This window comes from Homo sapiens, chromosome 15 (assembly GCF_000001405.40).
Source record: "Homo sapiens chromosome 15, GRCh38.p14 Primary Assembly".
Classification (NCBI taxonomy): Eukaryota; Metazoa; Chordata; class Mammalia; order Primates; family Hominidae; genus Homo; species Homo sapiens.
The window spans coordinates 55,280,646-55,294,170 of NC_000015.10; the positions used below are offsets into that span (position 1 = coordinate 55,280,646).

General features: G+C 44.3%; 1 protein-coding gene across 10 annotated transcripts in view, besides 2 other annotated features; it reads right to left on the reverse strand.

Moving 5' to 3' along the window:
- Nucleotides 1-13,525, reverse strand: part of RAB27A (RAB27A, member RAS oncogene family) — a 116,158-nt gene that overhangs the window by 77,680 nt on the left and 24,953 nt on the right. For 6 of the 10 annotated variants that reach the window (NM_001438977.1, NM_183235.3, NM_001438975.1 and 3 more), the window contains exon 1: nucleotides 9,071-9,168. The exons of 1 other annotated variant lie outside the window; for it this stretch is intronic. The gene's annotated coding sequence lies outside the window, so the exon portion shown is untranslated. Of the gene's footprint in view, nucleotides 1-2,723; nucleotides 6,264-8,806; nucleotides 9,169-13,525 lie in introns of those variants that run through there. 3 more of the 10 variants (NM_001438973.1, NM_001438972.1, XM_047432918.1) reach the window with 3 other exon arrangements.
- Nucleotides 8,856-9,385: a silencer, noted in NCBI's record as "silent region_6453". NCBI's record gives its function as "represses an Ori minimal core promoter by ATAC-STARR-seq in GM12878 lymphoblastoid cells {active_cell/tissue: GM12878}" and the evidence as "EXISTENCE:reporter gene assay evidence [ECO:0000049][PMID:35858748]".
- Nucleotides 9,486-9,635: an enhancer, noted in NCBI's record as "active region_9440". NCBI's record gives its function as "activates an Ori minimal core promoter by ATAC-STARR-seq in GM12878 lymphoblastoid cells {active_cell/tissue: GM12878}" and the evidence as "EXISTENCE:reporter gene assay evidence [ECO:0000049][PMID:35858748]".

Consider the following 13,525-nt stretch of genomic DNA (forward strand, 5'->3'; position numbering starts at 1 on the left):
TATCCCTCCCCCAGTCCCCACCCCCTGAGAGGCCCCGGTGTGTGATGTTCCCCTTCCTGTATCCAAGTGATCTCATTGTTCAGTTCCCACCTATGAGTCAGAACATGTGGTGTTTGGTTTTCTGTCCTTGAGATAGTTTGCTGAGAATGATGGTTTCCAGCTTCATCCATGTCCTTGCAAAGGACATGAACTCATCCTTTTTTATGGCTGCATAGTATTCCATGGTGTATATGTGCCACATTTTCTTAATCCAGTCTATCATTGATGGACATTTGTGTTAGTTCCAAGTCTTTGCTATTGTGAATAGTGCTGCAATAAACATACGTGTGCATGTGTCTCTATAGTAGCATGATTTATAATCCTTTGGGCATATACCCAGTAATGGGATTGCTGGGTCAAATGGTAATTCTAGTTCTAGATCCTTGAGGAATCGCCACACTGTCTTCCACAATGGTTGAATCAATTTACACTCTTTTGTGAGCATGTTTTAAACAAAAGCTCCCTGTGCCATTTTCATGTATAGCCAGTTTTGAGGAAGCATTAACATGGTAATCTTTCTCCAGCATTAAAGCTCTTGGGTCTTTTTGATTTCCAATTCACTGGGTCCTGAGTCTATACTTAGCCAGTATAAGTAGCCTTCTCCTTTTATATTTGCTTCACCTGGCTATTCTTCCGAAAGGAAGCATACACTGTCCTCAAAAAAAGGAATCTACTCTGCTTAGCAGTTCCATTTCTCATATATCAATAAACTGGCATTCTGGTTTCATTTAAAAAATAAAGTCCAGGATAGGCACAGTGGTTCATGCCTGTAATCTCAGCACTTTGGGAGGCCAAGGCAGGCAGATCACTTGAGGTCAGGAGTTCGAGACCAGCCTGGCCAACATAGTAAAACCCCATCTCTATTAAAAATACAAAAATTAGCCCAGCATGGTGACATGCTCCTGTGGTCCTAGTTACTTAGGAGGCTGAAGCAGGAGGATCCACTTGAGCCCAGGATGTTGAGGTTGCAGTGAGCTGGGTGACAAAGACAAGAAAGAAGGGAAGGGAAGGAAGAAGAGAAAGGAAGGGAAGGAAGGGAGAAGGGAAGGGGGAATGGAAGGGAGGAAGGAAGGTAGGAAAGGAAAAGAGAAGGAAAAAAAAAGAAACCAGAGGCCCTTACAGACCACAGGTACATATTTGGATCTTATACCTATTACAATGAAAGCAACTAAGGGATTTTAAGCAGAAGGATATGAATTGAATTCCTTTAATTTTTTAAAATTTTGTCTCATGCTCCTCAAGAGTGTGAGTTCCTTTTTTGGGACATCACTGGCTTTGTGTGAAGAATGGGCTATGGCAGGGAGGGGCAAGAATTGGAACAGAAAAGTAGCAGTACAGGCCTTTAACCAGCAGCTGGCACAGAGCAGGCACTTGGATATTTCTGCACTGCTTTAACATAGGGAAATCATAATATACTTGTTTCACCTCCTAATGTATTTCAGAGGAGTTCAAGGAAGAGACTCTGGGTGTTAGCAAAGTTCCATCTAGATGTCACTTCTTTTGAACAACACATAGAATTTTGGATTGTCCACAGTACAACTGGTTCCAATCAAGAAGTATTAGAATAAGAACATAAAAAGAACACACCAGGAAACCATCAGACCAGGCTTCTGGAACCATCCCTGCCATCAATTAGCTATGTGACCTGAGGCACAGCTCTGGATTTCTGGGAGGGGAGCCTGGGCTACAATTTCCAAGGTCCCTACTAGCTCTTAAATTACACAATTCTGTAAGTGTAACAAATGTGGTTTCCTTATCTGGGTGGCAAAATGGGATGATGACTCAGGGTGAGGTTTTTTGTTACAGATTTTCAACCTCCCAGAGAAGCTCTAGTGAAGCTAGAATCAGGGTGTTAATAAAGAAACTGTCCAGTTTTATTATTTCCTTTCCAGGGTATGGTGGTCAGCTGGAAATCTGGGAAGTAGACATTCCTGGCAGCTGCGAGCTTATCGTGCAAAGACTGAGAACCCAAGTCCCTGTGTAACCCTTCAGGTACACGATCTCTGGGGTCCCCTGCTCATGTGGCTTTCGCTCATGTGGAAGCACACAATAGACAGGCACTGAAGACCAGCCTCTCACTTCCTCCTGCTGGTAGGCTGTTCCCAAAGGGTCCACTCCTCTCCTATGGCCAACCTGGCACCTCCACGAGAACCCCATTTCGCATGATCCCTGGGGGCAGTGGTTCTCAGTCTCAACTGCAACTGCCCATCAGAATCCCGTGTGGAGACAATAAATAAATAAATAAACAAACAAACAGCCTGAGCCCTACCCCACATTTACTGACTTAGAATTGGGGTGAGGGAGAGGTTAGAAAGACAACAGCGGTAGTTAGGCTTAGTTAGTTTTACATGATGGACAGAACGTGTAACTTGGGAAACTGTAAGCCAAAGAGGTTGAATGAGTTGTCTAATGCAGGGTTTCTTAGCGTCGGCACTGTTGACATTTTAGGCAGGATAATCCTTTGTTGGGGGCTCTCCTGTGTACTGAGAATGTTTTGCAGCATCCCTGGCCCCCACCCACTAAATGCCAGGAGTAACTCCCCAGCTGTGACAGTCAAAAATGTCTCCAGGCATTGCTAAATGTCCCATGTGGGGTGGGGCAGGGGAGAAAATCACCCCCAACTGACATACACTGGTGTGATATCACATAGTTAATAATCAGGAATATGGAGACTAAAAACCGACCGACTGATTCCTGACTGTGTTGATTCTTCCACATTCAAGCAGGAAGTCCGGAACACAGGAATGAGCCGCCACCTGAGGAAATACCACAACCCACTTCACTACACAACCCACTTCAATACACAGCCTAGGGCAGACGTGGGACCTGGGACAGCTGACCTTGTCCCTAATGAGAAAAGCCACATTAGGTCTCCAGTATTTGACTGTGAGGACAATGACTTATCTTTTCAAGGACTGTTACACCTCTTCACTCATTCTTGGAGTTGTTTCCTTGAAATGATGCGATTTATTATGAAAATCACTATTTTCATAATGATTTCTTAGCAAGAAACAAAGAAATCCTGACCACAATCATAGGTTATATTTTAAAATTCTTTAGTTTTGTAAATGAACATTTAAGTCATGACCTATTTCTGTATGTTTCATTTCTCCCCTTATTAGGGCTAGTACAGCAAGAACAAAAGTATCATATTATTGTGTTTAACTAGCTGATTTAGACCTTGACTTTGCTTTTAACGATACAAATACACAGCAGATTAGTATTTAGCCATACCCTGATAGGACTTGACCAGCCTCCCAGGTGGTGGGATCAGGCCAAGGTAGATAAACTATAGCAAATAAGAATGAACAGACTTTTCAGTCTCGTGGCAACCAATTTTATTATTATGCTTTGACCTGGCAGCTGGTAAGACTTTATATGAATTAACCAATGAAACTATGAAAAAACAAGATTAGTGGTTCTGAAATATGGTATTCAAATAGCAGTTAGAGAAAGCAGTTCATTTTCAAGGCTGCTTTCTTTTAAATAGGTACAAATAATTACAATAAAAAATAATAAAATCTTGTTTAAAAAGAACAGATCTCTAGTGAGCAAGTCACATACACCTGTCTATCTACCTTGGTCCTTGTCATATGTATATCTTCCATATTTATTGTACCAAAATAAAAAGGGGTGAGGAATTTTGTGGGAATAGGCCACTCAAAGCAAGCAGGCTTTCCATAAGACAACACTTAGTTGTTGTGGAATTATACTCAGTAAGACCACCTTAATCAAAGCACCTTATAATAAATACTCCAGAGGGTCAAAAGTGTTAACAAAACCATAAAAAAAAATAAAACCACATTGAATTACAGGCTTTCTGGCATAACAGCAGGGACAAGAACCACATGGGGCTTTCAACAGTTATGCGGCTCTCAGAGAAAAGTCAAAGTGTCTCATGAGAATGGCTTTGGCTGCCACATGTTGGATCTGGGGACTGAAGGACAGTATGATAATGAGGTGATCTTGAGTGGATGGCTAGAGATGTGATTAAAGGTCAACATGAAAACATAAGCAACTTCTTCATGACCTCTTAAGGGAAGGGATTATGCAGCAGAACAACTGCTGGTTCCAGAGTCCCACTTCCAGCTCTGCCACTAACTCTATGTGACTTTGACAAAGTGACTTAACCTCTCTGGAGTAAATTCCATTAACTATAAAAGACTAGAGTAAAATGAAATGTTCTCTAACTTCCTTCTAATTCTAATACTCCTTGGGTTTACAAATCTTCTCTTTTGGATACATGCACAATCACCAAAAATCAGCCATGGCTCAATCATTCTTTGGACATTTTCACCATCGATGCATTTCCTATGCATAAACATAAACTCCAGCTAGGGCTGCCAGACACAAAACAAGACATCCAGTTAAATGTGCATTTTGGATAAAGAACAATTTTTTAGTAAAAGTATGTCCCAAATAATGTATAAGATATAGGAAACAATTATTTAGTGTTTTTCTGCAATGCAAATTTAACTTTTTTTTAGTTTGCTAAATCTGGCACCCCACCTCCATCCCCACATTAGAATCAAAACTCTCACTCCACACACGGGAGGTTGGCTGACTAAAGCACTACATGGTAAACTTCTGTTTAAGGGCAACATATACAGACGAAAAACAAACAACCAAAAAAAAAAAAAAAACAGGAAAGGAGGAACAAAACTTTCAGCATTCCTCGTAAGAGAGGCATCTAATTTTACTTGACAATAAATAAAATATGAGTATTACTAGACCTCAATCATACAAGTACCTGCAAAACCAGAGAGTCCAAACAGAGCTGAATGCTCTCTACTCCACACACCTTACCCTACGAACATAAGTAAATTACAAACCCTTTATCTCTGCCTCCAGTTCAGGGCTCATGTCTGCACCTAGCTTAAGGGAAACCAAATCATAAACTCAAACTTCCTGACCAAGAGGCAGAAGAACAAATACAGTCCAAGAAAATCTGCAAGTGGCATAAAAAGTGAAGGCTATAGAAGGGAAAAATTACTCTCTTCAAGAACCAATCTTGTTTTAGCGATGGCAAGACAATTTCCCTTCTCAGGGGCCTGGCCAACATGGTGAAACCCCGTTTCTATTGAATAAATAAATAAGAAATGAATTTCCATTTTCTCAAATTTCCAAAAAACTTCACTCTTCTTAAATTAGCACAAGAGGCCAACACCCTGGAGATAGGCACTGAATGGCCCTGCCCAGTTTGCCCAGGATATAGACAGAGGGCTCCGGTCTGCCACTGTGGGAGGGACCAAAATCCTCACCTTTCTACTTATTTGACCTTTCCCTTTTTAAGGAAGATAAGACTATTATTTTTGGGAAAGTAGGACAGAAGACGAGAGACTTAGGAGATGTTGGTGTATCTATAGACATTGCTTCTCTTAGAAAAAAATGGATGGAATAGTGGGAAAGAAATAGCAGAACACTCTACAGACATACCATCCTGGATGTGCCCGATCTCCTCTGATCTTGGAAGCCAAGCAGGGTTGGGCCTGGTTAGTACTTGGATGGGAGAAATGGCAGAATGATCCCTATTGCTCTGTCTTCTGTTCCCTTTTTCATTAGTTCAACACATATCTCTTTGAGTGCTTAATATATGTCAGAAACCATTCTATGTGCTATGGACATCACAGTGAACAAGGCAGATTACTGGCCATCCTGGAGCTTGTCTTCTACCAGTGAAAGACAAATGTTGTGTGTGTGTGCTGGTCTGTGTATGACAGTTCTATAAATACTCGAAAGAAAACAAGGCAAGGTAAGGGGGCAGAAAATGATGGGATAGGTGAGGGATACTATTCTAGATGGAGTGGTCTAAGAAGGCCTCTCCAGAAAAATGACTTTTCACCTGAATGAAATAAATAAGAAAGCCATGCAGACATCTGAGGGGAAGAGCATTCCAGGCAGAGGAAACAAGTGCAAAGGTCCTGAGGTATGGCTGGAGCAGAGTCAGCAAAGGCAAGAGTGATAGCAGATGAAGCCGCACTCCATGCAAGGGTTGTATAGACCATGGTGAGGACTCTGTCACTTCTGAGATAAAAAGCCACTGGAGAGTTTCAAGCAGAGTGACATAATAGACTCTGGCTGCTGTGTTAAGAATAGAGTGTGGAGCAGTAAGGGTGGAAGCAGGGAAGCCCTTCAGAAGGCTTTTGCAGTAATCCAGGTGACAGAGATGATAGAACTTGGTGGAAGCAGCAGAAGTGGTGAGAAATGGTTATCATCCTAGATGTATTCTTTTTTTTTTTTTTTTTTTTTTTTTGAGACGGACTCACACTCTGTCGCCCAGGCTGGAGTGCAATGGCACGATCTTAGCTCACTGCAACCTCCGCCTCCTGGGTTCAAGCGATTCTCCTGCCTCAGCCTCCTGAGTAGCTGTGATTACAGGCACCCACCACCACGCCCCGCTAATTTTTGTATTTTTAGTAGATACAGGGCTTCACCATGTTGGCCAGCCTGGTCTTGAACTCCTGACCTCACGTGATCCACCTGTCTCGGCCTCCCAAAGTGCTGCGATTACAGGCGTGAGCCACCGCACCCGGCCTGCTGAGGAATTTAATGTGGGGTATAAGAGAAAGAATCAAGAGTGATTTCAGGGTGTTTGGTGTGAGCATCTGGAAGAGTGAAGTTGCCATTCACTAAGATGGAGAAGACTAGGGGAAAAGCAGCTTTGGGAGAGAAAACTCAAAAATCTGGCTCCTAGAGATTGTTGCTCACTTTAAAACCCTTACATCTATTTTAGAACCAAAACAATAGAAATTGAGAAGCTGACTTTAAATTTCATGTGGAAGGCCAGGCATGGTGGCTCATGCCTATGATCACAGCACTTTGGGAGGCTGAGGCAGACAGATCACCTGAGATCGGGAGTCCGAGACCAGCCTGACCAACATGGAGAAACCCTGTCTCTACTAAAAATATAAAATTAGCCAGGCATGGTGGCACATGCCCGTAATCCCAGCTACTCAGGAGGATGAGGCAGGAGAATCACTTGAACCAGGGAGGCGGAGGTTGCAGTGAGCTGAGATCGTGCCATTGCACTCCAGCCTGGTAAATAAGAGCAAAACTCCATCTCGAAAAAAAAAAAAAATTCATATGGAAATTCAAGGGACTGGATAGTCAAAACAATCTTGAAAAAGAACAAGGTTGGAGGACTCACATATCCTGATTTCAAAACACTATGTAGCTACAATAATCAAGGTAGTATGATACTAGCCTGAGGACAGACATACAGATCAATGGAATAGAACTGACAGTCCAGAAATAAACCTTTACATTCATGGTCAATTTATCTCAACAGAGGTGCCAAAACTATTCAAAGAGGAACAGTCTTTTAAACAAATGGTGCTGAAAGAACTGGATATCCACATGCAAAAAGTTGAAGTCAGACCCCCTGCCTCACACCATATTTAAAAATTAACTTAAAATGGGTCAAAGAATGAAATGTAAGAGCTAAAAACTATAAAACTTTTAGAAGAAAACATAAGTATAAATCTTCATGATCTTGAATTTGACAATGTTTTCTTAACTTTGACATCAAAAGCACAAACAACAAAAGGAAAAATAGGCTCGGTGCAGTGGCTCAAGCCTATAATCCCAGCACTTTGGGAGGCTGACGCAGGTTGATCACTTGAGGTCAGGAGTTCAAGACCAGCCTGGCCAACATAGCAAAACCCCGCCTCTACTAAAAATACAAAAATTAGCCAAGCATGGTAGCACACACCTGTAATTCCAGCTACTCTGGAGTCTGAAGCAAAAGAATCACTTCAACCCAGGAAGCGGAGGTTGCTGTGAGCCAAGATCATGCCACCGCATTCCTACCTGGGCGACAGAGTGAGACTCTGTCTCAAAAGAAAAAAAAGGAAAAATAGATTAAATATACTTCAACGAAATTAAAAATCAAGGCACGTCACAGAAATTAAGGAAGGAAGAAAAAAGGGAGGGAGGGAGGAAGAGAGAATGGTAGAAAGGAAGGAAGAAAAAAGTAGGAATGAAAACATAAAACAACATAAACCAACATAAAATACAGAAAATAATGATCCTCAGTCAAGTTCCTTCAGCATTATATTAACCTTTCTTCACTTCTAACCATCTGCAGAAACTGTTTTCCAGATTGTATTTTCCCTCTAAAGCAAGTTTTTAAGGCCGAAAAAAAAAAAAGAACAAGAACAGTGAGTGGAGAATCAACAAATTTAATTAGCAATGATTACAGAAAACTTAAATAGCACACACAACTCTATAATCCCTCTACCCCCAATTCCAACATCTGACTGATCAACCAACCATAAAATGTGAGAATCCATCCAGAAGGAAAGAACAGCTGTTAAGCTGTAGGGGTAAGGACCCTGTGGCAGAAGACCCTGAGGCCATGTGGGCCCAGGTGGCCAGCAGGAGCGGAAAGGCTGGGAAGGCTCCTCAGTCCAGGGCTCACAAGACTCCCTTCGCTTCAGGCCTGACTTTGCTGAACTGGTGATCTATTGGGACAGAGACAGGCTTTGGCAATAGTTACCAAAGCCTGTCATCATATCTGCACCACCACCAGTCCCGACCGGAGGGCCTGGCTGCCAGGTAGTTTTCAGTCTAACTGACAGGAGAAGAGAGAGCCCCTCCCTCGCAGCTAGTCTGCAGTCCAGACCCTCACCAACCGGAGGGCAACCAGGTTAAACAGTTAAACTGAAAGCAAAAGAGGGAGGAATGAACCGGGGGGCGTGCGGGAGGTCGGGGACTTTCCTCCTTTCCCTCCTGGAAAGTTTCCTACCCCTGATGGGCATCCTCCCACCTGGATGCAACCCGGAGGCGATCTGAGACCCTGGCCGGACCTGGGACCGCACCTGGCCAGCACCAGGCAGTTGTCATCACTGGGGTCTGCGCTGAGGGCCTGGGAGAGAAGCCACTCTTCAGGCGGGCTCGGGCGCCTGGAGGCGGGGAGGAAGGGCGGCGCACTCGGACCCCAGCCCTAGGACGGCCCCAGGGGGACGCCTCGCTCGGCCCTCCCGGAGGGACCGGACCCGCCGCGCGCCTCCCGCTCCTCAGGCCCCCTCACCTGGCTCGCCCCGCCGTCCTGTCCCCGCCTGGCTCGGGTCCTCGCGCGCCGCGTCCACCCGCCGCCGGCCTTTTTTGGGTCGTTGGCGGGTATTTTCCGCCTGGCCCCACATCACTTCCCGTAAAGGAGAGCGAGGTGGGGCGGGACCTTCTCTCCTCCACCTCCCGCCTTCTCCTGTCACCTCGGGAGCGGCCCCCGCCCGGCTGGCGGGGGGCGGGGTGCTGTCGCGCTCTCCCCGGCGGCCGCGCCTCCGAGGGGTCCTCTGTGAGCCCCGAAAAGGCCCCGCTCGCCTCCTTTGTCCCAACACTAGTTTCCGCTGCCCCATTCTGGAAGGCGCTACAAAATATAGGAGTGTTTTCGTTTTGGGACACAGGAGGGACATTTACAAACTGCACCAAGGACCGGTGCGCGGCGAGGTGTCGTTTGGGGACTCTCCCCTATTCACCTCCCCAAAAAGCCATGTTCTAAGGGTGTTTTCCACGGCATCAGTTCGCGGTCGCCACCGTAGCAGCCGGAGGTGCCGGGCGTACTCACGCCGGCCCCGCCCGAGGTTCCCGAGTCCGCGCGGCTCCTGAGGCGGCGTCCCAGGCCCGGCCCTGCCCCCGGCTTCCCGCCCCTGCGGCTCCTGGCTTAGGTCGGCCTGGACACGGCGTTTCCGGGGCAAGGGAATGCCCAGGATTCCTGGAAATAACATGGGAGAAAAATAAGTAAAAAATTTCGCAGGAAAAAAATCAATGTAATTCCGGGAGGAAATGGCAAACGGAGTCTCTGCTCACACTGTGTAATTCAAGAATATAAAACCACTGTAAATTTCTAAGAGTGTTAGAGCAATGAGTTTAAAAAGAAGAAAACTACAGTATGTTAAGGAACCGCCTCTGTCGGAAGAAACCTGCGCGCCTTTGCTGCCACCCAGCGGCTCTCTTCTCCCAGCGCCAACGGTGTCGCTCCGGCCTGCGGGGTAGTGAACCTGGGACTGCGTAGGGGGTCAGACCTCGTGGTTCCCACTCAGAGGCAGCCAAGTTCATCCCTCTCAGTGGCCAGGAGGTGTGAACAGCAGCCCTTGGGCCTGTCCCTATGGAGTCTAAGGCAAAGGCCCTTTGAACCAAATGTTTCCACTTCTAAGCAGAGTAAAATGTTGAGAAGCCTTAGTTCAGCTTCCCTTCTGCCTTCTAAGCCGTCTCGCTGACTTGTGTCTACCTCCACCGCAAATTCCAGCTGTCGCAGGCCCACCCGGTCAACTCCATCACCTTTCCAGTCTGTAGCTACTCACAGTTGGCATTACAGCAGTTAGCTTCTCAGGTGGGTCCAATTTACAAAATCACATATAGGATGAACCATATGAAATTACAAACAGTTGGCAATTTCATACATTTGATATAACATTTCCAGGCAAACATAACACAGTAAACTCGGGTTTAGAGATAACAAATGTCCTAACAGGTTGATAACTTCAAGAGCTCTTCCCGTGTGAGAGAAGGGCCATCAGACTGTTGGTGAGGTTAAGAGAGAAAAAGGCCGGGTTAGGTGGCTCACGCCTGTAATCCCAGCACTTTGGGAGCCCGAGGCCGGCAGATCACGAAGTCAGGAGATCGAGACCATCCTGGCTAACACGGTGAAACCCCGTCTCTACTAAAAATACAAAAAATTAGCAGGGCGTCGTGGCACGCGCCTGTAGTCTCAGCTACTTAGGAGGCTGAGGGCAGGAGAATCGCTTGAACCCGAGAGGTGGAGGTTGCAATGAGCCGAGATGGCGCCACTGCACTCCAGCCTGGGCGACCGAGCGAGACTCTGTTTCAAAAAAAAAAAAAAAAAAAAAAAAAAAAAAAAAGGGAAAAGGTAGCCTCATGTTCATGTCCAGAGGAATAGTCCTGGGAATCACTGATCAGCTAAAATCTGGGAAACCAATAATGTAGTAATTGCTAATGGCTGATATGGCACAGGGAAAGCCTGCCTTCAGCTTTCCCCACTCCTGTGGCCAGGCAAGGCTCTCACCAGGAGTATACCAGACAGGAGATCAGAAAACCTAGGATGGTGCTATGGCCCATTCATCACCCATTCATTCACTCATTCATCAAGTCAGGCACCCTATTAGTAAACAAGGTAAACTGGTCCCTGACGTCAGGACTTACTTGAGAGACCATCGAATAAGTAGGCAACTCCAGTAGTGAGATAAGAGCCTCAATAAAGGAAGTTAAAGAGTGTTATTGGAGCACAGATAAATGACACCAAATCAAGAGAAAGTTAAGGATAAACTTAGAATGAATGAGGGCAAGGGGCAAGGGAGAAGAGAATTCCAGGAAAATGGAGCAGAGGGAAGGCCTGGAAGCAAAAGATAGCATTCAACACTGGAGCAACAGGAAGAGGTTCAGAAAAGCTGAAAGACTGAAAGCAATCAGAAAAGAAAATGGAGAAATAACAGAGGCTGTGCGGTGAATAACCCTGCAATGATGATCATGATCATAACTAACATTTCTTGATCATTTACTATGAGTCAGCCAATATGCTAATAGTTTTGACTACATCACCTCATACGTGTCTTACAACTACTTTATGAAGTAGGTACTATTCTTACCTCTGTATTACAGATGAGGAAACTGAGTCCTAAAGCGATTAAGCAGTCTGACCAAGATCATGCAGCTAATAAGTGGCACAGCCAGGCCTAAAACTCAGAACTCAAGTTTTTAATGGTTCTAAGAATGGGTCTGAGAGGTCAATTAGCACGCTGTAATCCAAGTGAGGGATAATAGCGATCTGATTACGGCAGTGGCCATAAGGATGGAGATGAATGGACATATTTGACATATTTAGGAGAGTGAATCAAGAGGACTGGGATGTAGGGGTGTGAAAGAGAGGCAGTAGTCCATGGGGATGCCCAGTTTCTGGTTTGGGCAACAAGAAACCATTAAGCAACAGGAAGAAAACCTAGTTGCAACCAGGAGGAAGGGTGAAATAGGCCATAGTGATGAGTTTAGGACATTTCCATTTTGACACACTAGCACCAACAGAATATCCAAGTGAAGCTGTTTAGTATGTAGTCAAACAGGCCTATCTGAAGCACAGAAAACATGTGCTGTAGCTATTACCCAAAAGGTACTGGAAGGCATTAGAATCAATGAGCTAATCTAGAAAGTGAGCTGAGAGGGCAATAGGCTTGTTACAGAACCCAGATGAACACCCAGCATTTAAGGCATGAGCAATGGAAGTTCAAAAAGGAATCCAAAAAAAGAGTATCCAGAGAGGTAGGAAGAAAACAAGGAGAGTGTTATTACAGAAACTAAGTACACTGAACACATCTCGTGTGTCAGTTCAAAGTCATCTCTACGCCACTTCTTACTGCAGCCACAGAATCGATCACAGTATACCTCTTGCTTCCCACACTGGGGCTTTTCTGACACTGCTACTTGCAACATGGAGAGTTCTGCCTCCAGTTTTCCTAATAGAATTAAAGTGGATGGAATCAGTAAGAATTCATGGATTTTAATAAATAAATATAGATATATGTATGTGTATATGTATGTATTATCTAGCTCTGTCTGCTAAGAGGTCCTAGAAGCAATTATATCAAAGTAGCTACGAGTACACTTAGCACCTGGATGTTGATTTCTTAATATCCCTTTCCAACAAAAGGAACCAATTACATAATATTATATATGGAAAATCCTAAATAAAAAATCTATTAGTGCTAATAAATGAAATAAGCAAAGATGCAAGATACTAGATCAACACATAAAAATCAGTTGCATTTCAATGTATTAGAAATGAACAATTGAAAAGGAAACTTTAAAAGTTCCATTTACAATAATATCAAAAAGAATAAAATACCTAGGCATAAATTTAACCAAGAAGGTGCAGGATTTATACATTGAAAACCACAAACCACTACTGAAAAAAAAAGAAAATCTAAATAAATGAAAAGACATGGCCAGGCGCGGTGGCTCACGCTTGTAATCCCAGCACTTTGGGAGGCTGAGGCGGGTGGATTACCTGAGGTCAGGAGTTTGAGACCAGCCTGGCCAACTTGGCGAAACCCGTCTCTACTAAAAATACAAAATTTAGCCGGGCGTGGTGGTGGGTGCCTGTAATCCCAGCTACTCGGGTGGTTGAAGCGGGAGAATTGCTTGAACCCGGGAGGTGGAGGTTGCAGTAAGCCGAGATCGTGCAACTGCACTCCAGCTTGGGTGATGAGTGAAACTTCTCAGATAAAAAAAAAAGAAAAGAAAATACATTTAATGTTCATGGAATCAAACACATAATATTGTGAAGATGGCTATATTCCCCAGATAGAGCTACAGATTCAACAACATTTTTGAAGAAATGGAAAAGTGTATGCTAAAATGCATATGAAATTGCAAAGGACCCAAAAATTTAAAAAGTTCATGCTTCCTGATTTCAAAATGTACTACAAAGGTATAGTAATTAAAAAAAAAACCTATGGTATTGATATAAAGACATATA